Raw genomic sequence first — 27,241 nt, 5'->3', positions numbered from 1 at the left:
ATATATCAAATAGAAAGTGGAATTAAGATGTACTCATTTTAAGTGGAAAGGAACTGCTGCCTTCTTTTTAAGATGCAGCCAAGATATCAAGTCACTGAGGGAAGATGGATGATTCAGTGGGGCCAGGATAACCAGAAGTCATGTTAAAATAAATCAGGTTGGAGCCTCTTCATAATTATTATTACCACAAAAAGAAAACCACATGAGAATTTATTTTATAATGTTGAGATGGGAAGTGCCTTCCTAAAAATGTCACAAAACCCACAAGCAATTTTTTAAAAGGGATAAATTCAACTACACAAAGAAATCACCATGGAAATCCTGAGTGACGTGCAGCTGATTAAGACTGGAGACAAAGTGGCCGCCAGTGAAGCCATGCTGCTGAAGGTGCTGACATACTTCCCTTCACCTTCTCCTTTGGCTGATCACCCAGCAGGCGCTTGCCAACGGCAACACCTACCACCCAAAGTGCTTGATATTACAGAGGAAACTGCACTCTCGCTTCCTGGAGGGTGTCTGCCATGTTGCCACCATGTGCATGCCGACTGGGTATCCACCTGTGATGTCAGTTCCTTGTCTATCATCAGTGGGTACAAGAAGGTCCTGGCTTTGTCTATGGAGACTGAGTTCACCTTCCCCCGCCATGAGAAGGTCAAGGTCTTCTTTGTTGATCCGGCTGCATTGGTGGTTGCTTCCCCAGCCGAGGTTGAAGCAAAGGAAGGGCTGGAGGAGTTGAATAAGGATGTGGGATTTGGTCTTTTTGACTGATCACTAAAGACCAACCAACTCAGTCAGCTTTATTTATGAAACAAGAAAATAAAGGTTTATTTATTTATTTATTTATTTATCTATTTTTGAGATAGACTCTTGCTCTGTCTCACAGGCTGGGGTGCAGTGGCGCCATCTTAGCTTATTGGAGTCTCTGCCTCCTGGGTTCAAGCGATTTTTGTGCCTCAGCCTCCAGAGTAGCTGGGATTAAAGGCTTGTGTCACCATGCGAGGCTAATTTTTATATTTTAGTAGAGATGGGGTTTCATCATGTTGGCCAGGCTGGTTTCAAACTTCTGATCTCAAGTGATCTGCTTGCCTCAGCCTCCCAAAGTGGTAGGATTGCAGGCGTGAGCCACTGTGCCCAGCAGTTTACTTCTTTGAACAACAGAAATCTGGAAACAAGAACACAAAAAACAGCCAAAACTGTGGGAAAAATTATAACAAATGCCACAGAAAATGCTACTTTTCCAGATTTATAAATTATTTCTACAGAGTTACAAGAAAGTAATCCAGTGAACAAATGGGCAAGTGATGAAAACAGTTCAGAGATAAGGAAATACAAATGGTTCCTAGACATTTGACAACTTCACTAAAAAGTAAGAGGGAGTCCTATTAAGTCAGTCCCATTAACACCATTTGGGATACCACATTTTAACCCTCATATTGGTAAAGATAAAAAAAGTGTGACTACAATTCAGGACTACTGAGGGCGTGGGGAAACAGGCACTTTCTTATAACGTTGGTAAGGATGTGAACTGGTACCTTGTCAATAAATGGCACTTGGTAATAACATCCATGAAAATTAAAAGGCACATACCCTGTAACCCAGAAATTCTATGGACTCCCCACACAGTGTGAAATGTTGCACTCAAGGCCAGGTGCATTGGCTCACACCTGTAATCCTAGCACTTTGGGAGGCCAAGGCAGGCAGATCACTTACATCAGGAGTTCGAGACCAGCCTGGCCAACATGGTGAAACCCCGTTGCTACCAAAAATACAAAAAATTAGCTGGGCATGGTGGCCCACATCTGTGGCCTGCACCTGTGGTCTCAGCTCCTCAGGAGGCCAAGGCAGGAGAATTGCTTGAACCTAGGAGGCGGAGGTTGCAGTCAGCTGAGATCACGCCACTGCACTCCAGCCTGGATGACAGAGCGAGACTCCGTCTCAAAAAAACAAAAAAGAAAGAAAAGAAAAAGAAAAAAAGAAATGTTGCACTCAAAGAAAACCTACTTCAGCACTTTAGGTAAGAACAAAAGATAGGCAACAATTCTGGGCAGAAACTAACTGTTATACCCCAATATTCATTCTCCCTTTCTTCCTTCTTAATAGAGTCCCAAATTTGTAATAGGTTCCCTGAATTATGACTACATTTTCTATCCTCCCTTGTGTGTTTTGTAAAATGAGATATAACTGAAAGTTGGGAGGTGTCTTTCTCATGAGGGAACATGTTGGTTTTCCCCTGGCTGAAATGTAGAAGTGAAGCCCGGAGCTTAAGCAGCCATTTTCCAATGCGAGAAGACAGCCATACACCAAGAACAGAACAACAATGAGACAGAAAGAGCTTCAGTTTTGGAGACTATAGCTGCCTACAGCAGTCCTGAGTTACCCCAACTCTGCTCATTTTGTACACAAAATAAACTTCTATCTTCTTTTTTTTTCCTTTTTTTTTTTTTCTTGAGATGGAGTCTCACACTGTCGCCCAGGCTGGAGTGCAGTGGCGGCGCGATCCTGGCTCTCTGCAACCTCCACCTCTCGGGTTCAAGCATTGCCCTGCCTCAGCTTCCTGAGTAGCTGGGATTACAAGTCCGCGCCACCATCCCTGGCTAATTTTTGTATTTTTAATAGAGATAGGGTTTCATCATGTTGGCCAGGCTGGTCTCAAACTCCTAACATCAAGTGATCTTGCCTCCCAAAGTGCTGGGATTATAGGCATGAGCCACTGTGCCCAGTCTGAACTTCTATCTTCTTTAAGCCACTAAATCTTTACTTTAGATACTTGAAAGTTTTTGATAAATCATGTTATGTACACAACATTGAATATTACACAACTCTTAAAAAGAATGAGTCAAATCTATTGAGGTATACATGTAGAATACCCAGATATAGTGAAATGAAATGCTTTACAAAATACTGATTTTATGTGAAACAAGTTTCTAAAAGGTTGTTATTGCTTGTTACCATCTGTGCAAAGAATAAAAATATCAAGATGATATGTCTGTAAGTAGATAAAATCTCTCTTTCTGGAATGGCACAAGACACTGGTAACAGGAGTTGCCTCTGAGCAAGAGAACTGAAGAGCTAGGGAAGGGAATGGGAGAGAGACTGCTAGCTCTAGGACTTTTTTGTACCTTTTTGTCCTTTTGCATGTATTATTTAAAGTAAATAATAAAGTTTAAAAAATTAAAATATGCAGCTGAGATGTCCAGTATGTTCACCTGTTTGGGAATGATACAGACAGAAATAGCTGGTGGGGTGGGTGCAGGGAAGGAGGGACATAAGTAATTTTAGGAAGTAGCACATGTATTACAGTCTAATTGGAGATAGCATCCTATTGGCACCAGCAGATGAGAGAGGCTGATGCAAATGAATAAGGCATTAGCAATGAAATCCAGAAAGTAGCAACAGGCCAAGAGGAATTTGTATGACAAATCTGAGAAGACCAGGTTCTGACTATGTATGCTTCTGACTATGTATGCTTCTGACTGAGACAGAAAAATCGGCAGTGGTTACTTCTAGAGAATTGCAGTGTGTGGTCATGTGCATAGTGAGGACTGAGTAGGAAAGTGGTCGAATTTTCTAGCAAGTCACTGAGTGGTAATTTGTTTACTGAAATGAAGCATTTTTTTTCTTCTCCAGCCTAGCAGTGTTTTATATGTGTGTGTGTGTGTGTGTGTGTGTGTGTGTGTGTGTGTGTGTGTGTACATACACGTATTTTTATGGGGACACCCCAATGGATTTCCATGATAGATGTATTTTTGAACGTAGAAGCTGGAGGGATGTTTCATTTTCTTGGTACAGAAAACACACCTAAACAAGGGTGATTAGGGGAAGGTTGTTGAGGGTTTTAGAGGTGCCAAAAAGAAGTGAGGAGCCATAACTTTCAGGCATACCTTGTAGGACAGCAGCAGGTGTGAATCAGAAGTTTTGCCTTTAAGTGTGTTAGGGAAATTGGCATAGATACTGCTTAAGATATAAACAACTAATCAATTTGACTGAATAAGTAAAAGTAACTCTAGTTAGGAATGTTAATATGAACTGCCTAATTAGTATGAGCCAAGTTGCTCTTATATAAATAGATGTTTAAGACTGATCTTAAGTCTTCTCTGAAGATGGCAATAAAATCTATGAACATGTTATGCAGCTTCAAAAATCTGTGCACACCTGGTAAAATGACTTTAAAAAATTGGCAATCCCAACTGCTGGTGAGAATATGGAGAAGGAAGATTCTTGTACATTGCTGGTGTAAATGCAAAATGGTATACCCACTCCAGGGAATGTTTTTGCTTTTTTTTTTTTTTCTGAGTTAAACATGTACTTGGAATAGACCAAGAAATTTGATTTCCTTGGTTTTTGCCCAGAAGAAATGAAAACTTAGGTTCAAACAAAACCCTATATGTGAATGTTTGTAGTGGCTTTTTTCATAATTGTCAAAAGTTGGAAACACCCAAATGTCCTTTAACTTGTGAATGGACATACAGACCGCGGTAAATTAAATACTACTCAGTAATAAAAGGAACTATTGAAACATGGATGAATCTCAAATGTATTATACTAAGTGAAAGAAGTCAGACACAAAATATATGATTCCATTTATATGACATCCTATAAAAGACAAACTGTAGGAACAGAAAGCAGATTAGTGGTTGGCAGGGGCTAGGAGAGATTTACTACAAAGGGGTGCAGGGACATTTCTGGGGTGATGATACTGTTCTATATTTTGACTATATTGGTAGCTACACAAATGTATGTATTTGTTAAAACTCATAAAACTGTACACTAAGAACTCTGAATATAACTATATGAAACTGATATCCCAATACACCTGACTTTAAAATAAAAAGCCTGTACTTCCAGGGAGCTTTCTAGGAAGGTAGAAACATTCTGAATCTGTGGTGGTTACATGGGTATATACATATGAAATAATTCATCCAGTTGAACATTTAATATTTGTACACTTTATATGCACCATTGAATGTATTTCACATCTTATTTTAAAAAATAAATGATAAAAAAAGTCTGGTTGTACCTTATACTAGCAACAACAGAGAGAGAGAGAGAGAGAGAGAGAGAGAGAGAGAGAGTGTGTGTGTGTGTGTGTGTGTGTGTGTGTGTATGAGGGAGAGAAAATAGGATGCTGAGGAAAAGGATCAAATGACTGTCTACAACCCTGTTGGGATGGATATGAGACCTTGGGTATGGTGCTTGATAATGGCAGAAAGAAAGGCTATGGCCACCAAAGACAAATGTCACCAAAGTTGAGGTAGAAGGCAGGACTCAACTCCAGTGTGGGGCTGGGACACTGGACCAAATTGAGGACCAGCTTTCCATAAGGCACACCCATCAGTGTGCCATGGCAACATCCAGAAGTTATCACCCCTTTCCATGGCAACAACCCAACAACCCAGAAGTTACCACACTTTCCTAGACATTTCTGCATAAACCACCCCTTAATTTGCATATAATTAAAAGTGGATATAAATATGAGTGCAGAACTGCCTCTGAGCTGCTACTCTGGGCACAGTGCCTCTGGGGTATCCCTGCTCCGCAAGCAGTGCCTCTGCTACTGCCGTACACTGCCACTTCAGTAATAGTTGCATTCTAACACCACCAGCTCACCCTTGAATTCTTTCCTGGGTGAAGCCAAGAACCCTCCTGGGCTAAGTCCCAATTTTGAGGCTTCCCTGTGCTGCATCAATGTCACAGTCTTGCTTAAGGCTGACCATTTGTATCAACATGTATGTTTTTCCCCTATCACTTCATTCAATTCTGCTTCTGACAGCTGCTCTTCCATTTCTAGTGATTTCTCCAACACATCTCTGCTGAGAAGGAGGGGCTGAAGGAAAAGGCCTGAGCTATAAGGACACAGATATCAGGGTTCAGACCTCGGCTCTAATACTTACAAGTTATATGACATTCGGCAAACTTCTCCATATATTTTCATCTGGTGTATTTCTTCTCTATGAGTCATTCATGTACAGAGAAGTCTTAGTGCCTTGGGGATCTTCAGGAACATTACACACCTCTCAGCAACAACTTTGGAACACCCAGTTTCGTACTAATGCTCCTTTTTGAGCATTTGAATGATTTCTGCAGCATAATTTTTGTAGCAATAATAGTGAACCATAAAAACTCAATGGCCTCATTATCAAGTCATCTGCACAGGGCCAATTGATTTGGATGATATCAATTCTCTTAATCCTTCCCTGGAGTGCAGTGGGGCAGAGTCCTGCTTGCTTATTTTACACAGAAGAAAAACTGCTGCAGCTCCTAGGCACCCCAGCTTTGTTCCTGGAAATACGAGGAAATGCAAAGGTGTGGCATCCCTACTGGCAATCTACTGTATTCCCATGTGGGCATGGTGAAATCTCCTTCACATAGATTGCAGGAGCACCTCCCTGACTGCTGAGGTCCTGTGGAAAGGGAACTTGAACACCATCCGGAATATAGGAATTTTTTTATGGGGGGAATGGTGAATAGACAGACAGAGTTCATTTCCAGATTTTTATTCACTCTAAGCTTTTTCAGATTCAGTGTCTCTGGGGTGCGCATTGTTGAGCATCTTTACACTTCAGCCTGCTGCCATCAAACCCTGGACTTTATCCCAGAGCTACAAATGAGATCTCAGCCCTGGAGTTGTCTGTCATGAGCCTCGGGGCCTGCTTTGCTGTGACTGGACACTCTACCATCTGTCTGTCAGCTTTGAAGCGCTTCCCTCTTTTGTCCCAGGAATGCAATTAAGCAAGTTACTTGGAGCTGTGCCTTCAATAATCTTACTGGAGGTTTACACAGTCATAGGGTGAGTTAACAGGGTAAGGGTTTAATCAGTGAGTTGGATGAGGAAAGTATTTTGTTTCTTGGCTTAGTTTTGCATGGTAGCATTTGTCTCCTTATGTAAACAGAGTGCAAGTTACTATCCTGCCATCTTCTATACCGTATTGAATTACCAATGTAATTGTAATCAGCACTTCTGGAAAGTGCTGATGGCCTATTTTGTACTTGTTTGTGTTAATCAATGTTAATTACAAAGCAAGCACAGGGGTTAACGAATTATAATGGGCTTAATTAAGCTTGACAGTAACAAATGGCATAACCTTTATGTTATGGCCTGGTTAAAGTAACAAAAAAAAAAAAGGGACAAAATAGACCAGAAAATCATCACATAGGAATCCATATTCATATACTGATTACCTACAGGAACAGAATAGTGTAAGGAATTTATTGGTTTTGCTAATTGTCAAGTTAAATTTTTACCACACTGGCACTACTAGGAGTACAGAGAACTATTAGGCCTGACTTTTACCCTCAAAGAATTTGTAATTTTGTTGGAAAAGAGACACAGAAAACCAAGTTTTAAAATGGTCCAATGAGTCACAAGTGAGTGATGCCTACCATGTTACAAAGCATTTGGAAGAGACAGGGATCACCGTGGGTTGGTGCAGTGGAGGAAGACTAGGGAAGGTAGAACTCAAAGAAAGAACTCGATGGAGGAGAGGAGGGAAGTAGGCATTCTTACTGGATGCATGGGTGGAGCAAAGGTTTGGAGGTAGGAATGCAAATACTGTGTTCAGTGAGCATGCATGCTTCTGTGAATCTGCTTCATTGATTTAAGTGTCACAGAGGGGTAAGGAAAGTGTTGTCCACAGTCACACTACCTGGTCTGAGCCTTGATCTCCCCGTGTATGGAGTAAGAAATGACCACAAAGACACTTCCGGCGCCCAACTACAGCTGCAAAAGCCCTTGAGCAGGGCCTTTTCTCATTAGATGAGATAGGATGTATTTGGATGCAAGCAATAACACACACACCCTAAACAGAATGGCTTCCATAACAATCATCTGTTTACTGCTCCTAAGTCTACTGGTCAGCTTGGTTGTTCCGCTGGTCTGGACGGGCTCAGTTGTTCTGGGCTGTTCTCACTCATACATCTGATGACTTGGTGGAGGTTGGCTGGTGTGAGGTGGCCCCACTCACATGTCTGGTGGCTGCCTGGCTATTGGTTGCAGTGCTGGATTTGACTGGGACACACCAACATTCAGTAGGTTAGCCTGGGCTTGCTTACATGACAGCAGCAAGTTTCCTAGAGCCAGGGTTAGGAAGCATGCAAGGCCTCTGAGGCCAAGGCTTAGAAACAACATGAAGCCAATTCTGCTGCATTCTGTGTGCCAAGGGAAGTTCCAGGGCCAGCCATATTGAAGAGGTGGAGAAAGAGATTCTACTTCCCATTGAGGGGAGCTGCAAAATGACATCGCAAGGTATGAGTCCAGGGAAGAGAAGCATTTACAACTATTTTTAAACTTTACACTGTGCTTCAGGTAAAGAGGCTTTCTCACTATTCCAGAAGCAGGACTCGCTTTTCCAACACTAAACATTTGTTCAAGGAATTTCCTCTGCTTTAGAAGTCACCTCCTCACCATTTTCTGGGTTCAAATCTGTCCCTCCTGCAAGACCGATCTCCAAAACTAATTCATCCATGAAACTTTTCCCAATCACTTTAAATAAACATGGTTTCTCACTCTTTCGAAGTTAAAATGAGGCCACAGACTCTACAGTCTATCAGTTCTGAACTATTTATGACCACATAGTTTTATATATATGGTTGCATACAGTTATATGCAATTGAAAACAATCATTTTTATCTTAGTATATAAAATGACTATGATTTAGGGTGATAGCGTCTATTAAATTGAATCTAATGTGATTTCTTTATTCACTTTTGCTATAAAAGAAAGCAGGCATTCATGGTTACCTGCCTAAAGCTTTACTAAAATTACTTAGTACGATTTTTGCAATTATCTTTACTGTGATTTTGGAGCTCAGATTTTCTCTCTAGCCCCAAAGTATACTTTTTCAAATTATTCCTGCTTTTAATGTTTAGTATTTTAGAAGATTCTAAATATACTTTAAATTTTGTGACTTAGAAAATGAAAATCGTAGGCCAGACGCAGTGGCTCACACCTGTAACCCCAGCACTTTGGGAGGCCAAAGCAGGTGAATCACTTCAGGCCAGGAGTTTGAGACCAGCCTGGCCAACATGGTGAAATCCTGTCTCTATTAAAAATACAAAAATTAGCCAGGTGTGGTGGCAGGCACCTGTAATCTCAGCAGCTTGGGAGGCTGAGGCAGGAGAATCACTTGAACCCGGGAGGTGGAGGTTGCAGTGAGCCAAAATAGCGCCACTGGACTCCAGCGTGGGGGACAGAACAAGACTCTGTATCAAAAAAAAAAAAAAAAAAAAAAAAATTGGTGCTGGGTTTGGACTTGGTATCTGTGATTCCTGTCTCTGGTACTACTATTTATTATACATTTATTTGAAAACCAGGAAAACACTTGTTTTTCTCATTGGCTCACCACATAGCTCTTAAATTCAACTTAAGTCCCTTGGTGTAAGGCACTCCTGTAGGAGACACTAAGTGTATCATGTGATATAATGCTTCTGGTGAGTGCTTCTAGCACATAGGGAAATCGATGGGTTTATGAGGTGTCAGTTATATCCTTCGTCCCAATTTAAGCGTGCCAGTCTGATGTTCATCAAGATTTTTTAAAAGTCATGTTTGTAAGAAAGTAAATCAATTTTATTCCTCAGAGGCTAGGATGAAGAAAAAGCACAGCTCATGAGAAATACAGTATTTTTCTTCTGATAACAGTATTCCCTGATGATTCAAATATTTTGCGGTGGAGTGAACATTCTATTACAGTGCTATTTTGCGTGGAAATGAAGAAGCTAAGACTCAGAGAGCTTAAGTCACTCAAAAGTTTTCGTCCATTAAAAAAGTTTTCAAAATAGAGATTAAAAAAAGATTTGAAAAAACGTTTTAAAAAAGAGATTGCTAAACATCAGAAAAAAATTTCAATAATAAATGAAGACCAAAATAAACTACATCAAAACAAACTAAACAACCACATCCCCCACCCCACAGTCCCGCCATGCACATATGCATCTTGAGACCATTTGGGTTTTAACCCAGATTTCAGAATTTTCTCTTCTCCTTCCCATCACAATTCAACCTTCTTAGAAAATAAAAATGTCGGCCGGGCTTGGTGGCTCACGCCTGTAATCCCAGCACCTTGGGAGGCAGAGGTGGGTGGATCACGAGGTCAGGAGTTCGAGATCAGCCTGTCCAACATGGTGAAACCCCCCATCTCTACTAAAAATACAAAAATTAGCCGGGCTTGGTGGTGGGCACCTGTAATCCCAGCTACTCAGGAGGCTGAGGCAGGAGAATCGCTTGAAACCGGAAGGTGGAGGTTGCAGTGAGCCGAGATCGCGCCACTGCACTCCAGCCTGGGCAACAAGAGCAAAACTCTGTCTCAAAAAAAAAAAAAAAAAAAAAAAAAAAAAAAAATATATATATATATATATATATATATATATATACACACATATATATGTATATATACACAATAAAAATAAAAATGTCTTTTATCCATCCAATTGAATTTTAAAATCATAGATTCTTAAACCTTTTTTATGCCGTGGACCCTTTTGGTTGTTTGGTGAGAGTAACATTTTCAGAATAACATTTTAAAATGCATAAAATAAAATAAATGGGATTACCAGGAAAATCAATTATACTGAACTATAACTATTAAAATGTTAGAAATAAATGTGATCTTAAGGTAGGTTTGTTATTTAGTGGCTCTCTTGAGTACCCACCCCTCCTTTGCGGGGCCCTCCCACATTGCCTGGGCGTGACCATGTGACTGCCTTTGGTCAATGGAAGTCCAGCAAAGGCTTGTGCATAGTGCGGTGCTCTCCTGGCGAGGTGTCTCGCCGCCGCAAGAAATCTGGAACCTGGTCTAAACTTTTTGAGGATGAAAAAGCAAAATGCACCAACTTTTCCTCACCCCAGGTGAGCCTAGAGCCCAGCCACAAAGCCCGGGTGACACCAGCAACCCAAAGAATTGAGAGAAATAATAACCGGTTTTTGTTTTAAGCCTCCACATTTTTGGCCATTATTTTTATGCATCAGTACATAACTGATTTGGATCCCTGAATTCTTACTGACCTTTTGGGCCCTGGATTTACTGCTTTTTTTTTTTTTTGAGATTGGGTCTCACTCTGTCACTCAGGTTGGAGTACAGTGGTGCGATCTTGGCTCACTGCAACCTCCTCCTTCCATGCTCAAGCGATTGTCCCACCTGAGCCTCCTGAGTAGCTGGGACTACAAGCACACGCCACCATGCGTGGCTTTTATTTTTGTTTGTTTTATTTTGTCGTAGAGACAGGGTTTTACCGTGTTGCCCAGGCTGGTCTCAAACTCCTGAGTTCTGGCAATCCATCCTCCTCGGCCTCCCAAAGTGCTGGGATTACAGGCATTAGCCACCGTGCCCGGCCTAGAGCTTCTGTAACTGTTTTTCACTATCAGTTATTTTAAGCTCTCACAGTTTGCGTAGAGGTCATCTATCCCCTGGCTCCTTGCAGGGAGGGTGGCAGCCGACAGCATCTTCACTCCCCGAACGTGCTGGAAATGCCATGTCTCAGGCTTCCCCTCTGACTTGCCCATTAGAAGCTGCAGTTTCACAAGACCGCCAGGTGATTCCTTTAAACATTCAAGTTTGCAAAACACTTTAAAGCAGGCACACTAAAGTCTGAGATGAGCAAACCCCTTATCTTATAATAATCTTCCCTTTCAGAAACTTCCTTCACGCCCCAATAGAAATATTTTCTGCTAAGAAAGTGCCCGTTCCGTATCGTCTGTGATGATCAAGCCTTACTGCTTCCTATTGAAAAGCTCCAGGCATGCTGTTTGTTGTCTAAAGCGTCTGCCGGGCTGCGATGGTCCGTTTTGTGTCAGACAGCAAAGTCGTGGATGGAAAGGGGGCTTATAAACACGTGTAGGTTGTTGGAATTACATTAACGAATGAATGAGCAAAACCTTCTAAACCACCGACCAATGAAACCCCGATACAGAAAATCGCTGTCATGAGTAAGTTAGCACTCCTGAAGAGTTTGAATACTGAACTGGCCAGAGTCTGCGCGCCGACGCCCCCCAGGTGGCCGGAGTGACCCGGAGCAGGCGTGGCTGTCTCTCAGACCCGCGCGTTGGGCCCGAACAGTTTGTCCCCACGCAGCTCCCATATAAGGCGGGCCCCTCCCCTGCCCCAGCCAGCTAGGTCGCCGCGCTGGCTCCCTGGCGGCTTCTCAAACCAACCCGCCGCTACTGCGCATGCTTGGCAAGCTCGCCCGCTCCTTAATATCCTGCTCCGGCTGTTCCTGCCACCCGTTGGTCAAATTCGCACCCAGCTCTGCTCCAGACAGAGGGAAAACCCAGTGATTTCCGGGCTCTAGAAACAAAGGGAGGCTATGATTCCCTGCTGGCCCTAGGGGTCCAGGGAAGGTTATGGAAAGATAATTCTTTGTGTAAGCGGGTTGCGTACTTGCAGACATCATCCCACTTGATGCATTCACCACTCTATGCCGTTGTTCCTGATTTGCAGATGAGACAAGAAGCCTCAGAGGCGCCCAGTAATTCAGAATTACAGGCTGACAAGGCTAGTGTTGGAGCTAGGACTTAAAAACAGGAGTTCCGCCTCCATTCCTTGCGTCTCCCATTATAGCTTGGCTTCCTGGAATGGCTGCTCCTGTGGCTCGCAGGTGGGCTTCTGGGTGTGCGCAAACGATTTCATGCATGCTCGATTCACTGAATGAATGAATGCATTTACCTTCTACACAGGAAGGGAGGTGGAGCTCACTTCTACCAGAGGCCCTAAGCCTTAAGATACCAGTTGTCGGCCTGGCGCGGTGGCTCACGCCTGTAATCCCAGCATTCTGGGAGGCCAAGGCGGGCGGATCATTTGAGGTCAGGAGTTCGAGACCAACCTGGCCAACATGGTGAAACCCCGTCTCTACTAAAAATACAAAAATCAGCCGGGCGTGGTGGCACGCCCAGCTATTCGGGAGGCTGAGGCAGGAGAATCTCTTGAACCCGGGAGGCGGACGTTGCAGTGAGCCGAGATCGCAGCATTACACTCCAGCCTGGGTGACCGAGCGAGACCCTGTCTCAAAAAAAAAAAAAAAAAAAAAAAAATACCAGTTGTGTTCGCCTTTAACTCCCTTATGATTAAAACTAAAAATTACTAAAGTGTACAAAAGTGCAAAACAAGTCTAAATAAGGTTTGATTCTAGCCAATATAATGACATTCCCGCACACATTTAAAACATCCAACACCCTATTAATTTTCGTTTATCGGTATCCCGAGTTAAGGGGTCCAAAACATACGGTCGGACCTCCTTAGGGTAGCAGAGAAGGCCCTAGCGGAGTTTGCCACCAACAAGCTGTGATCATCTCTGCGCCTCAGTTTGTTCGTGTGTAAAATGGATACGTTAACTCATGTTTGGCTGGGTGAAGCCAGGTTCTTGTTAAGGGCTGAAAAACTGGCTTTGGTCACCTGACCCCAGGACTGTGATCCTTGCCGCTGGCTTTAAATTGCTGCGATCCTCTTCTCTCCAGTTGTTCAGGCCATGAGGGTGGGTTCTAGTTTTCCTGAAACCATCCGCTCCGGGTCGCCCCCATAACCTCTGCGCCAAGGTCCACAACGTGGCCTTTCCAGACTTGCAGATCCCGGAGGCTGCTTCCAGGCCCCGCGGCCCCGCCCCTCTGCACCGCCCGGCCGCCGCCAAACCGTGGCGCATGGATCACGCGGGCCGGAGCCGTTCTGGGCATGCTCAGTGGCCTGGCAGGTGGGGCTGCCGCGGAACTCCAGGTCCGGCCGGGAGCAGAGGGGCGGGGGCGAGAGGGAAGTGGGCGGGAGCCGCGATCTGAGTAGCCAGCGTCGCCGGCGACCGCGGAGTTCTGGGCTAGTGGGACCCCGCGCGGGCTGGTTCGGGATGAGCGATGGCATCGGTCAAGGTGGCCGTGAGGGTCCGGCCCATGAATCGCAGGTGAGTGGGGCCGCCCGCGCCCCGCCCCCTCGTCGCGCCCCCACCCAGAGGAAGCCTGTTTCCAGCTCCCCCAAAGCCAGCCTGGACTTAAAAGTGTCACCGGCTGGTCCCTGGCCCACCGGGCCCAGGCTGTGGCCTCTGGGGGCCTGGAGGACTTCGTGCACTGCTGTCCCGTTCACATTGCCCTGGAGAGGACCCTGGTGGTAAAGGAGAAGATTCTATTAACTCTCTCCATCGTATTAACTTGAGATGTTCTTGTTCCCCCTTTAAAAAAGCATCAAGGGAACGTTACCATGAAGATGTAAAATAGTTGGGGGGAAGGTGAGAGTGCTGAGGGGGGGCACCACGAACTGTCAGGTGAACCCCTCATTTCTACCAACTCAGAAGTTCTCTTAACAATTAACCATGCTACTTTTTAATCTTTCAGTTAGAGATGATTTTGATTCCCTGAATGTCTAATCGATAACTTAGCAGTTCCTAACTTCATGTTAGAGAGTGGATGGGAAAACTTTGACAAAGTCCTGACTCCTAGAAAAAAGTCAGGGACGCTTTACACGTGTTTGAAATACTCTGATATTAAGAGAGAGGAAGAGTGTTACACACAAAATTTAATCTTGTTATATATTTCTACGAAGTAATGCTTTTTCAGAATCCTTCTCTTCATTCACTGAAAAATAGCCTGTGCTCCCTTTTCAATGACCTCTTTTTAATCCGTTTAGAAAGTTTCTTTGGAAAAGTTACTTTTTAAATTGGTTTGACTTCAAAGAATGAGGTAGAAATGGGATGTGTCCTCCAAGGTGACAGGCAAGGTTCACACAGAGCCATTTGATTTTATTGACTTCTCTACCAAGTTGGTGGATATTTGACTTACCATAGGGCCTTTTTGCTTTTGTCATATCAACTTGTGGAGGTTAATGTTTGGTAGTTCTGATGCCTGATTGGGGCAGCCGAAGGCCATAAAATCAAAAGATTTCCAGAACCTTATTTGACTCATCTAAATCTGTTTCTTCTCTTGGCAAGTAGGGAATCATTATTTTGGTTTGTAATCATTAAAACCCAGTGTTTTCAGAATCTGCTTTTTGTGACTTTTGAGTTATTTCTAAAGCTGTTTAGAGTAAGAGTTTGACTTTTTTGCTCTAAGGGAATATTTTTGTTTCTGTGTACATTCCATCATAGAAGATAAACTTTAGAACGATTTTTCTTTATTATGGATTTTCATGTGTATAGAAGTTCTTTTTCTTTTTTGGAAAAAGGTGAACACATGCTAGAAAATTGTATTGTGTAACTTTAGAAAGTATTTGTTAGGCTGGGCGCGGTGGCTCATGCCTGGGAGCCACTTTGGGAGGCCGAGGCGGGCGGATCACAAGGTCAAGAGATGGAGACCATCCTGGCTAACACGGTGAAACCCCTTCTCTACTAAAACTACAAAAAATTAGCCGGGCGTGGTGGTGGACGCCTGTAGTCCCAGCTACTCGTGAGGTTGAGGCAGGAGAATGGTGTGAACCCAGGAGGCAGAGCTGGCAGTGAGCCGACACCGTGCCTCTGCACTCCAGCATCAGTGACAGAGCGAGACTCCCTCTCAAAAAAAAAAAAAAAAGTATTTGTTAAGCACCTACCAAACACATAGCATTCCTCAGGGTGCTGTCTGGGATACAAGGGGAATGAGACCTGGTGAGCCATGGTGAGAGAGGGATTATGTACTGGCATGAATCTTGTGAAGTATTGGGCCTGCTGGGACAGGAACTGTGAGTTCAGTGCCTTGCCAGTGTAGGCCTGGAGCCCAGGTACATGGAGGGATGGCAGGAAATAAGTCCAGAGGCCATGGGCTTTGGGGAGGCAGATTCGCGTGATGTTATTTATATTCTCAGTAGAGAACTCTGGTGGTGTCAAGATTGAGGTAAGAGGCAGGTGATTAGCAGTTTGAGCCAGAGATGAAATTGGAAGGCAGGATAGTTACAGGAAGACCACTCACTGGCAGAATTGGCAGGATTTGGCAGCTCACTGGATGGGAAGAAGGGGGAAGAATGCGAGTGTAGAGTCATTAACTGAGGTTTGATGCTGAAGGAGGTGAACAGGTTTGAGGAAGGTGGACAATGAAGTTGGTATGTTCTCTCTTGGATGTGGAGAGTTACATGAGATGTATTAAGTGTCAAGTACAAGCACAGAGCAAGTGTTTCACGCATGTTGACCTTGTTCATTATCTGAAGTGTGGGAAGGACATCCATCCCTCTGCTAGAGATGTTCAGCAGAAAGCTGAAAATGTGGGTTTAGGTCTCAGGTGATTTGAGGATCGACATTTGGAAATCTTTTGCACATAAACCACAATTTAAGGATGTTACGTGAGAAGAAAAGGGAGCCAGGGATTGGACATTGGGATATGCCCCTCTTTAGGATTTCAGGGAGAAGATTGGCTTGCAGTCCGTAAAGGAGAACCAGCACAGCAAATGGTCATGGCAGGAAAGGGAGAAGAGCATCCTGAAGGAGGTGGTGGGGGTTAGTGTCAAATATTGCCAGGATGATGAGAATAAGATGGTGTCCTTGGTCTTGAAGACAAGGCTAGTTGATAACCTTCCCAACAGTACTTTTAAGGAGAGTCAATGATTCAGAAGTTGGCAGTGAGTAGAAAGAGATATATAAATTGGCAACTGAATATACTTGACCTAATTTATAAGGAAAGACATGCATACTATAATAGTGATAAAATGCCATTTTTTTACCAGTGAGATTGATAAATATTAACTGAGCACCAATTGCTGGTACAGGAGTGATGAAACAGACGCCTCTGCATTGATCACGGAAGCATAAGGGATCAAAACATCTGAAACTTTCATATTGGGAAATTTGACAGTAGCTGTCAAGATTAGAAATCTGTATACTTAAGCAGAAAATGCTTCCCTTAAAAAATTGGAAATCTATAAACTTTTTGATTTGACCATTTCATTTCTACTTTTTCTAATTTCTAATTTTTATTATATGGATTATATTGCTGCCTACAAAGATATATGTGTAAAGATGATGATTTTTGCATCATCATTGATAACAAAAAATCATAAGTGACCTTAATATACAAAATTGGGAAATTTGTTAAGTTATAGCGTAAATCATTTGGTGGATTATTATGCAAGTCTTAAAAAGAGGGTGTTGATCTTAAAAGAGTTCCAAGGTAGAGGATTGAGAAAAGCAAGATATCCACAGTGGAGTAAAGTTGTGTGTTTGTGTGTGCTAACAAATGTACACACACACACACACACACACACAGATTCATCTATATGTAATGGTTTGTAAGAAACCTAACACTGATACCTCTAAAGAGGAGGACTGATGATGAATCCATTAGGCAAAGATGAAAGGCTTTTTTTTTACTGTTTGTTTTTACTTTCCTCATGCGTAGTTTTATAATTAATACTTAGAATTAATTATTAACCCAGCAGTGCTTATTTAGGTAATTTTAAAAAGTCACCTACAAAATTCATTGGCACTGGAGAAGTTTCAGTTGGTTGTGAGGAGGATTGAAGGAAGTTGTTAATGTTTTTAATGTTTATTTTTAGAGTAGTGGAGCCTCAGGCAAAGGGAAAGCAACCTACAGAAAAACAAGTCCCAGAGTTATTGGAAAGTAAGGACTGCTGGTGGTGGAGTATTGAGTTTGACTGAGTTTCTAAACTAGGGGCCTTTGCAGTAATCAGTCAGCCTTGTAAGGAATATGAGTGCTTGATTCAGGCCAAGATGTGATGAGTTTATTTTTATTGCCTTATGGCTTTCAATTATGTGGCAGTAATACTCATTTCAAATGCGGAAGTGATTCTGTTACGTAGGCAAAATGGTAGCCACCTTTATTGAGACTTGACTCTGTGCCAGACTCTCTGGTCCTAGCTCCAGGTACAAAATCCAGTTTAATCTTTGCAGCCATCTTGGCAGGTAGAGACATTATTGTTATGCCATTTTACAGATTGGGAGACAGAGTTTCTTAGTGTGTTTGGACTGCTCTAACAAAATACTGTAAACTGGGTGGCTTATAAACAACAAGCATTTACTTCTCGTAGTTCTGAAGCTTGGGATATCCAAGATCAAGGTGCCAGCAGATAGGCTGTCTGGCTGTCTTCTGAGAGCCAGGTCCTCATACATGGTAGGTTCTTGCTGTGTACTCACGTGGCAGGAGCAAACAGACTCCCTTGGGCCTGTTTTATAAGGGTACTAATCCCATTCACAAGGACCTCATGACCTAATCACCTCCCAAAGGCCCTACCTCTTAATACTATCTCAGTGAGGGGTTAGGTTTCAATATTTGAATTTTAGGGGGAGACAAACATTCAGATCATAGCACATAGTTAACTTGCTCAAAGTCAAAGTCAGTTTCTTAAGACAGTCACAGCTATGCCTTTTTTTTTTTTTTTTTTTTTTTTTTTTTTTTTGAGACAGGGTCTTACCCTGTTGTCTAGGCTAGAGTGCAGTGGCGCAGAGTCGTGGCTCACTGAAGCCTCAACCTCCTGGTGGGCTCAGGTGATCTCCCTGCCTCAGGCTCCTGAGTAGCTGGGACTATTGGTGCACACCACCACACTTGGCTAATTTTTAAAATTATTTGTAGAGACGGGGTCTCCCTGTGTCGCCCAGGCTGGTCTCAAACTCCTGGGCTCAAGTGATCCTCCCACCTTGGCCTCCCAGAATGCTGGGATTACAGGTGTGATCCACGAAAGAGCTGCAGTTGGGTGTGAAAAACACTGTTGTGGGTTCAAGTGAGATAACGCATGTGGATAAAGCTCTCCACACAGAGCCTGGCATTCAGCAGGGGCTCCCTGAAGAGTGCTTGTTGTCATTACTATTATTTTTACAGTTTAATAATTGTAACTTTATTCAAAAACAAGTATTTAAAAAATGCCAAAAAATATTTACTGAGTGCTGGTGATGTGCCAGCTTTATAGCTATGTTGTATAATGTGCTTGCTTATCTGATAGGGCAAATCCACCCCATTCTTTCTCTTTTCTGACTGTTCCTAGCCTTTCTTCCTGATTAGCCTCTCAGGTAGAATCTAGTATCAAGTCTATCAAGTTCAGGAGAGAAAAAGAAGAAAAAAAACCACCAGTGGCATTTTGCCTGGATTTGATATCTTTAGGGTGTACTGACGTCTTCCTCTTTTAAAAAGAAGATAGGTCAAAGGGAAAGTAGTTCATGGTTAGCCTCTTAGGTCTGTGATGATGAGGACAGACATGTCTTGTATTAAGGACGGGAAGTATCTGTCAAGGCACTGCCAGGTACCAGGTACTACACTTATTTCTTTTTTTTGAGACGAAGTCTCGCTCTGTTGCCCAGGCTGGAGTGCAGTGGCGCGATCTCGGTTCACTGCAAGCTCCGCCTCCCGGGTTCATGCCATTCTCCTGCCTCAGCCTCCCGAGTAGCTGGGACTACAGGCGCCCGCCACCACGCCCGGCTAATTTTGTTTGTATTTTTAGTAGAGACAGGGTTTCACTGTGTTAGCCAGGATGGTCTTGATCTCCCGACCTCATGATCCGCCCGCCTCAGCCTCCCCAAGTGCTGGTATTACAGGCGTGAGCTGCCAGCCCTATGCTTATTTCTTTACCTTGGCAATTGCATTTCCTCCTCTCACCAATTGACTGACCTATAAAAGCCAGGGGAGACTGAGACCCCTCAGATAATAATGCTGGGTTGAGCCAGCTGCTTCGGTTCCCTTCAGAGCCCTTTATGTAGTGACGTTGCCTCTGGGCTTACAGATGACAGAAGCCCATGGCCTCAGGGAAATGCCGATCAGAGAATACACAACACACAAAAATAACAATAGAATCTGTGTACGGTTGAGATGGAACCTCTAGGGGATTCTAGAGGCTAGAGGAAGAGATCTCCAGTGCTTCTGCCATCTCTTTAGATAAGAGGGTGGAACTTGAGTTGAGCCCTGAAGGGATATTGCCAGCGACCATATAGATAATTTCTGTTAGGTGCTTGGCTGATACTCTTTGGAAGTTGGCATTGTCAGCCCATTCTACAGATGAGGAACAAGGGCTCAGAGACTGTAATAAGGAGGTCTCTTATTCAGAAATAAGAAATAAGACCGCCCAAGGTCACATAGCTAGATACTATGATGCTGGATTTGAATCCAAGTCTCCCCTACTCTAACTTCCTAAAGTCCTTTCATTATACAGAAGACTTAGTTGAGAGGTGGGCAGGGGGTGGTTGGAAGGTAGGAACATGTTTATTTCACTAATGATTTTAGACAAATTGAAGATTTTGTAAGAATTAGTTGCAAGGCAGGTAGACAGGGTGTTGTGAGGACTTTTCTTTGTGAAGCCTGGGCATTTGGGTTTTTGATCTCTAGATCCCTATGCTGGCCAGTATAACTGTCGGCCACCTATGTGACTATTTAAGTTAACATAAAATAAAATAAAAAAAGGATTTTAGTTAATTGCATTAGGCACATTTCAAATGCTCAACAGACACATATTCAATAATGTAGATATAAATATATCCACCATCCTGGAAAATTCTCTTGTGCAGCAAGTCTGAATAAAGGCTTGAATTCCAGCTCTTTTACTTTCTACCTCCATACCTTGGCACTTTATTGAACATGTCTGTGCCTCAGTTTCTTCATCTGTAAAATGGAGATCTCCATAGGACCCACCTCGTGGGGCTGGAATGGTAATTTAATGAGGTAGCATTTCGTACAGTGCTGGGCCCAAAAGTAAGCGTTCTGTAAATATCAGGTATATTATTAGGCATTGTGAGCTACTGATGGTTCTAAAACAGGGCTGTCTTTCGCCAATTAGTGTTTTCTGAAGTTTCATCTAATAGTAGTGTAGGGAAATAATAATACTAGCACCAGTAATGGTGAACTTTTATTTACCATTTGCCAAGGGCTGTGCAAAGTGCCTTTTATGCATTATTATCTCCCTGACTTTCCTGCCACCACTCCGTGACGCAAGACTGAGGTTCAAGATGTCTGTCTGAGTGCTGACAACCAGTGCAGGAAGACAGTAAAGAGAACTGAAATATGACCCATGGCGATTGGATTCTGGGCATGGTTATAATTGGAAAAGGCAGAGGCAAGGGACAAAACTTATAAACAAAGCCCTGAAGAAGCAATCACTGTATTTTCTGATTATGAAAATAATGTATGCTTATGAAACGTATGTGTTATGCAGAAAAATATACCGAAGAAATCAAATCGCAAATTGCTCATAATCCCACGATCTGGAGCTAACTACTCATAAACTTTTGGTGCGTTTGCACCTAGTCTTTTTCCTGTTTGTGTAGGAACGTCGTCATGTACACACTTCTATATCCTGCTTTTTGCAGTTGCAAGAGACATTCTAAAGACCAGTCAGCAGGACATAGAGAAGTGGGGAGTCAAAGATGACTCTGAGTGGCTTGGGGCCTTATTAAGTGGAAGAATGACCTTTCCCAAAGGCAGTGATGCTGGCCCTACGCGGGTTGGGGTGGGTAGAAGGGCGTGTTGGTCTGTTGATTTGTTTCGGGGTGCTGGTGGGAACTCCGGGCAGTAGAAACTCAGGTGAGTTATCAGCTCTGCGGATGCGCATTTGCAGATGGGTCACTGGAAGGTGATAGTTGCTGTGGTGGAAGTGAATTCTGTCTCTCAGGAAGGGTAAAGCAGAAAGAGAAAGGGTAACAGCAGTGCTGCATGAGCCGGGTTCAGGCTGGAGCTCTTCAGTGGGCTAGCCGAGTGACTGGGCAAGTTGATTTTCCTCTTTAAGGCTCAGGTTCTGTTTTGTAAAACAGTGATTCTCCAAGTGTGGTCCAGGGACAACTGGGTATCAGTGAGACTCTTTTATAGGGGGTTCACAACGTCAGAACTGTTTTCACAGTACTACTAAGATGTTATATTCCATTTTTTCATTCTCTCATGAAGGTACAGTCAAATTTTCCAGAAACTACATGGTGTGTGATGATGTCACGGCTCTATGGGCTGTGCATTTTGTTTAAAATTTTCACAGTTTTAATTTCTAACATGGTAACTATCAGTAGATATAATTGATGTTAATAAAAGCTCTTGAGCCTCCTCAGTAATTTTTTAAGCCTATAAAAGCGTCCTGAGGCCACAACATTTGAGAACCACTTCCATAAAATAATGCTGTATAAGTAGTTGAGATCAGATGAAATAAATAAATATATAATAACTGTCCACTAAATCATAGTTACTATTATCTTTTATACTCACTATGGTTACTGACAGCCAGATTTCAGGAGGTAGGAGTGGAGGATCAAGTTGGAGAGAGAAGGGGCATGGAGAGAGGAAGGGAGGAAGGCAGGAGAGTAGAATGTCACGCCTGACCAGGGGGCTCAAGGCTTGGGAGGAGGGAAGGTCGCCAGTGTGAGAGGCTGCACAGTCAGGTGGTCGGGCTCAAGTCTGTGGAGGGGTGGGAGGCAGTGCCATGGTTGTGGGAGGCTTGTGCAGTGTGATTGGGCTGTGAGGGCATTGGAGGTAGCCTGTTGCTGCCCTTCCAGTTAATGGAGAGATGAAAGGAAGGAGGGAGCCTCATTTCCGTTCATCTAAGCAGAGGTTGACTCCTGTAATCTTTTTTTTCTTTCAGTTTTTTTTTTTTTATTATACTTTAAGTTTTAGGGTACATGTGCACAACGTGCAGGTTAGTTACATATGGTATACATGTGCCATGTTGGTGTGCTGCACCCATTAACTCGTCATTTAACATTAGGTATATCTCCTAATGCTATCCCTCCCCTCTCCCCCCACCTCACAACAGGCCCCGGTGTGTGATGTTCCCCTTCCTGTGTCCAAGTGTTCTCATTGTTCAATTCCCACCTATGAGTGAGAACATGCGGTGTTTGGTTTTTTGTCCTTGCGATGCACACGTATGTTTATTGCGGCACTATTCACAATAGCAAAGACTTGGAACCAAGCCAAATGTCCAACAGTGATAGACTGGATTAAGAAAATGTGGCACATATACACCATGGAATACTATGCAGCCATAAAAAAGGTTGAGTTCCTGTCCTTTGTAGGGACATGGGTGAAGCTGGAAACCATCATTCTCAGCAAATTACCGCAAGGACTCCTGTAATCTTTTGAAACTTTTTTACTCCATGTTTGAGGCATGGCCTGGTCTGCATCCCTGGATCCCAGCCCTTACCTGGACATGACAAACCCAGGCTCAGCAGAAGACAGATTTTTTTGTTTGTCTCTTTTTGTTTTGAAGAAGAGAAAAAGAAAACAGGGAGTTTGGGGTTGGTGAAAGAAGGCTGGAGGAGCAAGGGAGGGAAGGGGCTGCTGGCTGGAAAGAGAAAGGAGGGGAGAGTTGCTGCTGTTGCTGACACCTTGAGTTGGGAGCGCATGGAAGTTTTTTCTTTCTTTTAGGTGAACTTTATAAGTAATATGATGCAAATGTCTGGTATTTTTCCTTATACAATATTTTAAAATATCTTTGTGTGCAAAATACACTTATACAAGGTGTATTAGTAGTTTAAAAGGTGCTCTTGAGTGACTTGGGTCACATAATTTGGTTTTAAACTTCTGTTGCTTTATTTTAAACATGGAAACTGTGTGAGCATGAGAGTGGAGTGGGAGAGAGTGGAGTGGCAGAGATCGAGTGTGTATGTGTTTCTTTTTGCCTGTCAGAGAGAGAGAAGTTATTTAGAAATGTCCAGTTGTGTGATATATAGCAGTTTGGTCTAAAGTTGATTGATGTGATACTTCCTTGTTTCTTGACTGTTTTTCTAAGTTATTTTGATAGCTTTGGCTGTTTTTGCAGATTCTGGAATTGGGATGCCATCTTACTGAAGCTTGTTTTGTGAAAGAGAATATGTTAATTATACTTAGACCTGTAGCCTGGGAAAAGAAGTAATAGTGTTTTAGCTCCTTCCTGAGGACTGAGAGATTTATTTTGGTGGCTTTGACTGCCTTTCCTCACGTTCAGGTTATAAAAAGACAGGGGAAAAAATCCTTCCAGGGAGGTTGGTCAGCACTGGCTTGGACTTAGCCCGCACATTCATCCAAGCACAAAGGAGGTAACCACCAGTGGGGCCAGGAAGCTTGCCTTCGGTCACTCCTATTATCCCTGGGCGGAGCATTTGTGTTTTTTGCTCTGTCCATTTCCAAATGTATTCATTTTTCATTGTTGCTGTCCATGAGATAGGAAATAGCTGTTTCTGTGATCAGTCATTTATTTATAGACACTTTAAGTACATTTCAGTGGGATATGTAGAATTTAAAGTAAATTGAGAAAGTTAATGCTTTCAATGTAATTGTTGATCAGTAATTTGGTCACTCATTACTATTTCTGGCCACTCATTCACTTGCTAGGAATTCTGCTAAATCCTGCGCTGTACTATCTAATTCACTTCTTCACAACAGTTCTACAGGGGTGAACATCATTAGATCCGTCTTATAGATGGGAAACTGAGTCTCAAAGAAGGATCAGGTTCTGTCTCATATGCCCGTCTTCAGAGAAGGCTTTATTACCTCACTCTGGTTTTCTGGCTTGCTAACATTCCCCATTTTATGAATGTATACGTGTGTGTATGTGTGAATATATTTTTGTTTGCTTATTATCTCTTAAACTCTCTGAGAGCCAGTCACCGTGTAGATCTTGTTCATGGCTGTTTCCCCGGGGCCTGGAACTGTGCCGGGAAGACCTGAGCACTCAGAAAGTATTTGTTACATTTATAAGTATCTCCACTCACCCTCCACACATGCCTCTTACTTTCTGTGGTTGCTCGTGAGGGATTGGGATCCGTAGTCACGGCGTTTGTTGCATGTCTCACATTGTTCTCCGTGAGGAGGAAAAGAGCATCTTGACAATCCTCCTATTGGGTATTAGGAAGACGTGAGGGGTGACGGAGGGCTGAGCAAGAGCCTGGGTAAACAAGGACAGCTTCAGCTCTTTCCCGTGTATTAAGTTTACTTAATATTACACTCCCAATGAAGATTAAGATTACTTCATATTACACACCAATGCACATTATGTTTATCCCTTAAGGTTAGAGAGTTGGAGGTACAGCACTATGGTACAACACTTTACTGTGTTTAAATGATACACAGTTTATAGGGCAGAATACTCTTGTTTCTTTCTTCAGAAAAGATATTTTAAAAAATTTTTATTTTGAAATAATTGTAGATTTATAGTAAAGTTGCAAAATAGTAGAGAGTTCCCATATATAAACTCTTCACCGAACTTCCCGTAATATTATGCCTTATGTAACCACAGCACAATGATCAAAACGAAGAAATTAACTAAATTTTATCTAGATTTCACCAGTTTTCCCACTAATGTCTTCCTTCTGGTTCAGCATCCAATCCGGGATCCCACATTGCATCTAAATGTAGCATGTCTCCTGAGTCTTCTCTGGTACGTGACAGTTTGTAAGTCTTTCCTTGTTTTTCATAACCTTAATTTTTGAAGAGTACTGGTCAGTTATTTTTTAGAATGGTTCTCAGTGTGGCTTTCTCTGATGTTTTATCACAAATACGTTGAAGTTAAGCAATTTTTGACAATAATACCACAAAAGTGATTTTGTGTCCTTCATATGTTACTGGGGTATGTGATGTCAATATGTCTTACTACTGGTGATGTTGACCTTGATTACGTGGTTAAGGTGGTATCTGCAGGGTTTCTCCACTGTAATGTTTTATTTTTTTTTTCCTGTTTGTAATTAATAAATATCTTGGGGGAGATACTTAAAATTTTTGACTTCAGTTTGCAAAAGAATTTTCCCCTCATGGCAACACACCTCAGATTTTCTAATAAAAGTTATTGTGAATATAAGAACTATTTAAAACTTTTTTTTTCCCACTGACTTAGTGAGAAAGGATTTGTCATATTATTTGAAATGAAGGGCGCTTATGTTTTGGAAGGCTGATGATGATTGTATAGAACTATGTGCTTCAAACAAGATCCACAGTAAGACATTCATCTGCTCAATGCATGCTGATATTTTCTACTCTCTACTACTTTTTTTTGAGACAGAGTCTTGCTCTGTGGCCCAGGCTGGAGTGCAGCAGCTCCATCTCTGCCCACTGTAACCTCCACCTCCCGGGTTCAAGCAATTCTTATGCCTCAGCCTCTTGAGTAGCTGGCATTACAGATACCCGCCACCACGCCCAGCTAATTTTTTTTTGCAGTTTTAGTAGAGACGGGGTTTCACCATGTTGGCTAGGCTGGTCTTGAACTCCTGACCTCAGGTGACCCACCCACCTCAGCCTCCCAAAGCGCAGGGATTACAGGCATGAGCCACTGCGCCCGGCCTCTCTATTATATTTTTTTAAAAAAAGATGATTGTTACTCACTAAAATGATTTTATGATTCATAGTTTGAAAAAAACACTGATGAAGTGAATTTATTATCCAGAGAAGAAGTTGGTAAAATCTGATTTTGTTACTCGAGACAACACTGAGACATCATGCCGTCAGAGTGACTGCCAATTCCGTTTCCTCTTGTTAGCTGGTTAGAGCTTTTTTTCTTTTTTTTTGAGATAATATCTCACTTTGTCACCCAGGCTTGAGTGCAGTGGCACGAAAATGGCTCACTGCAGCGTTGACCTCCCAGGCCCAAGCGATCCTCCCACCTCAGCCTCAGCCCCCCAAGTAGCTGAGTGATTTTTGTATTTCTTTTAGACAAGGGGTTTCACCATGTTGCCTAGGTTGGTCTTGAACTCCTGAGCTCAGGTGATCCGCCTGCCTTGGCCTCCCAAAGTGTTGGAATTACAGGCTTGAGCCATTGCTCAGATCAAGATTTTAAACTTTTAAGAGTGTAGGATTCTGAACCCTCCATGGGATGCCTGCTCTCAGGAACTTGGTGTCCTTTGCCCCAGGGGCCTGTGGTCTCACCTCACTGCACCTGCTGATTCTTATTGACAAAGTCTAAGCCATCACAGGGATTCTGCCTGGGACACAGTTAAGTCACTGTGTGAACTTCCTCAGAGCAGGACTTAAAAGTTCCCCAGGGAACTGTCAAGAAAAAATGATTCTAGGTGATGGAGACTAGCTCAAATTCAATCAATTTGCCAGATAAGGCTTTACGAAAATATCTGGTCTGTTCTCATCCTTTTCCCTAAAGTTGGTGTTTTCATTTGACGAGGTAGATGGGCCCTTGTGAGAAGGTATCAGTGGTCCTTGGCTGGTGCTCACATGTGATGATTCAATTAAGGTGCTTTTCTTTCTTTTTTTAAAAATATTTTTAACTTTTTATTTTGAAGTATTTATAAGAATTTGCAAAAATAATACAGAGTTCCCATGTACCTTTTACCCAACTTCTTTGAATGTTCTTTTCTTCTATAACTATCTTATAATTATCAAAACCGGAAAGTAATATTGATACAACATTATTTGAATGTTGTATCATTATTTGAATACAAATCTGAATAGACTTTATTCAGATTTCTCAGATTGCCCCAG

At 42.7% G+C, this 27,241-nt stretch overlaps 1 protein-coding gene, 1 long non-coding RNA gene and 1 pseudogene across 19 annotated transcripts in view, besides 4 other annotated features; 2 read left to right on the top strand and 1 right to left on the bottom strand.

Annotated features, from left to right (window-relative positions):
• Positions 313-768, top strand: RPLP0P1 (ribosomal protein lateral stalk subunit P0 pseudogene 1; annotated as a pseudogene).
• Positions 5,556-5,725: an enhancer, noted in NCBI's record as "experimental_59894 CRE fragment used in MPRA reporter constructs". NCBI's record gives its function as "activates a minimal promoter by MPRAs in K562 erythroleukemia cells, with activity observed for the non-introgressed 20:16562106 variant allele {active_cell/tissue: K562}" and the evidence as "EXISTENCE:reporter gene assay evidence [ECO:0000049][PMID:34662402]".
• Positions 7,742-11,798, bottom strand: LOC124904875 (uncharacterized). Of its 2 annotated transcripts, none has more exons than XR_007067538.1 (2): positions 10,997-11,798; positions 7,742-8,222 (listed from the first exon to the last, which is right to left on the bottom strand). It is a non-coding gene; the product is annotated as an uncharacterized LOC124904875 (long non-coding RNA). The 2 variants fall into 2 exon arrangements; XR_007067539.1 differs by having other exon boundaries at positions 11,374-11,798.
• Positions 13,375-13,896: an enhancer, noted in NCBI's record as "H3K27ac hESC enhancer chr20:16553850-16554371 (GRCh37/hg19 assembly coordinates)". NCBI's record gives its function as "activates a minimal SCP1, AML or CMV promoter by ChIP-STARR-seq in primed H9 embryonic stem cells {active_cell/tissue: H9 hESC(primed)}" and the evidence as "EXISTENCE:reporter gene assay evidence [ECO:0000049][PMID:30033119]".
• Positions 13,533-13,762: a silencer, noted in NCBI's record as "fragment chr20:16553984-16554213 (GRCh37/hg19 assembly coordinates)". NCBI's record gives its function as "represses an EF-1alpha promoter that drives an FKBP-Casp9 reporter gene in an ReSE screen in K562 erythroleukemia cells {active_cell/tissue: K562}" and the evidence as "EXISTENCE:reporter gene assay evidence [ECO:0000049][PMID:32094911]".
• Positions 13,617-13,746: a silencer, noted in NCBI's record as "silent region_12683". NCBI's record gives its function as "represses an Ori minimal core promoter by ATAC-STARR-seq in GM12878 lymphoblastoid cells {active_cell/tissue: GM12878}" and the evidence as "EXISTENCE:reporter gene assay evidence [ECO:0000049][PMID:35858748]".
• Positions 13,653-27,241, top strand: part of KIF16B (kinesin family member 16B) — a 301,345-nt gene continuing 287,756 nt past the window's right edge. For all 17 annotated transcript variants that reach the window (XM_047440266.1, XM_047440264.1, NM_001199865.2 and 14 more), the window contains exon 1: positions 13,653-13,872. In XM_047440266.1, coding sequence (XP_047296222.1) covers positions 13,826-13,872 — 47 coding nt within the window. In that variant the 5' untranslated portion in view covers positions 13,653-13,825. The remainder of the gene's footprint in view (positions 13,873-27,241) is intronic.

Source organism: Homo sapiens, chromosome 20 (genome assembly GCF_000001405.40).
Source record: "Homo sapiens chromosome 20, GRCh38.p14 Primary Assembly".
NCBI classification, from domain to species: Eukaryota; Metazoa; Chordata; class Mammalia; order Primates; family Hominidae; genus Homo; species Homo sapiens.
Note: the sequence above shows the minus strand (reverse complement) of the source record. Positions and strands in the feature narration are given on the sequence as shown.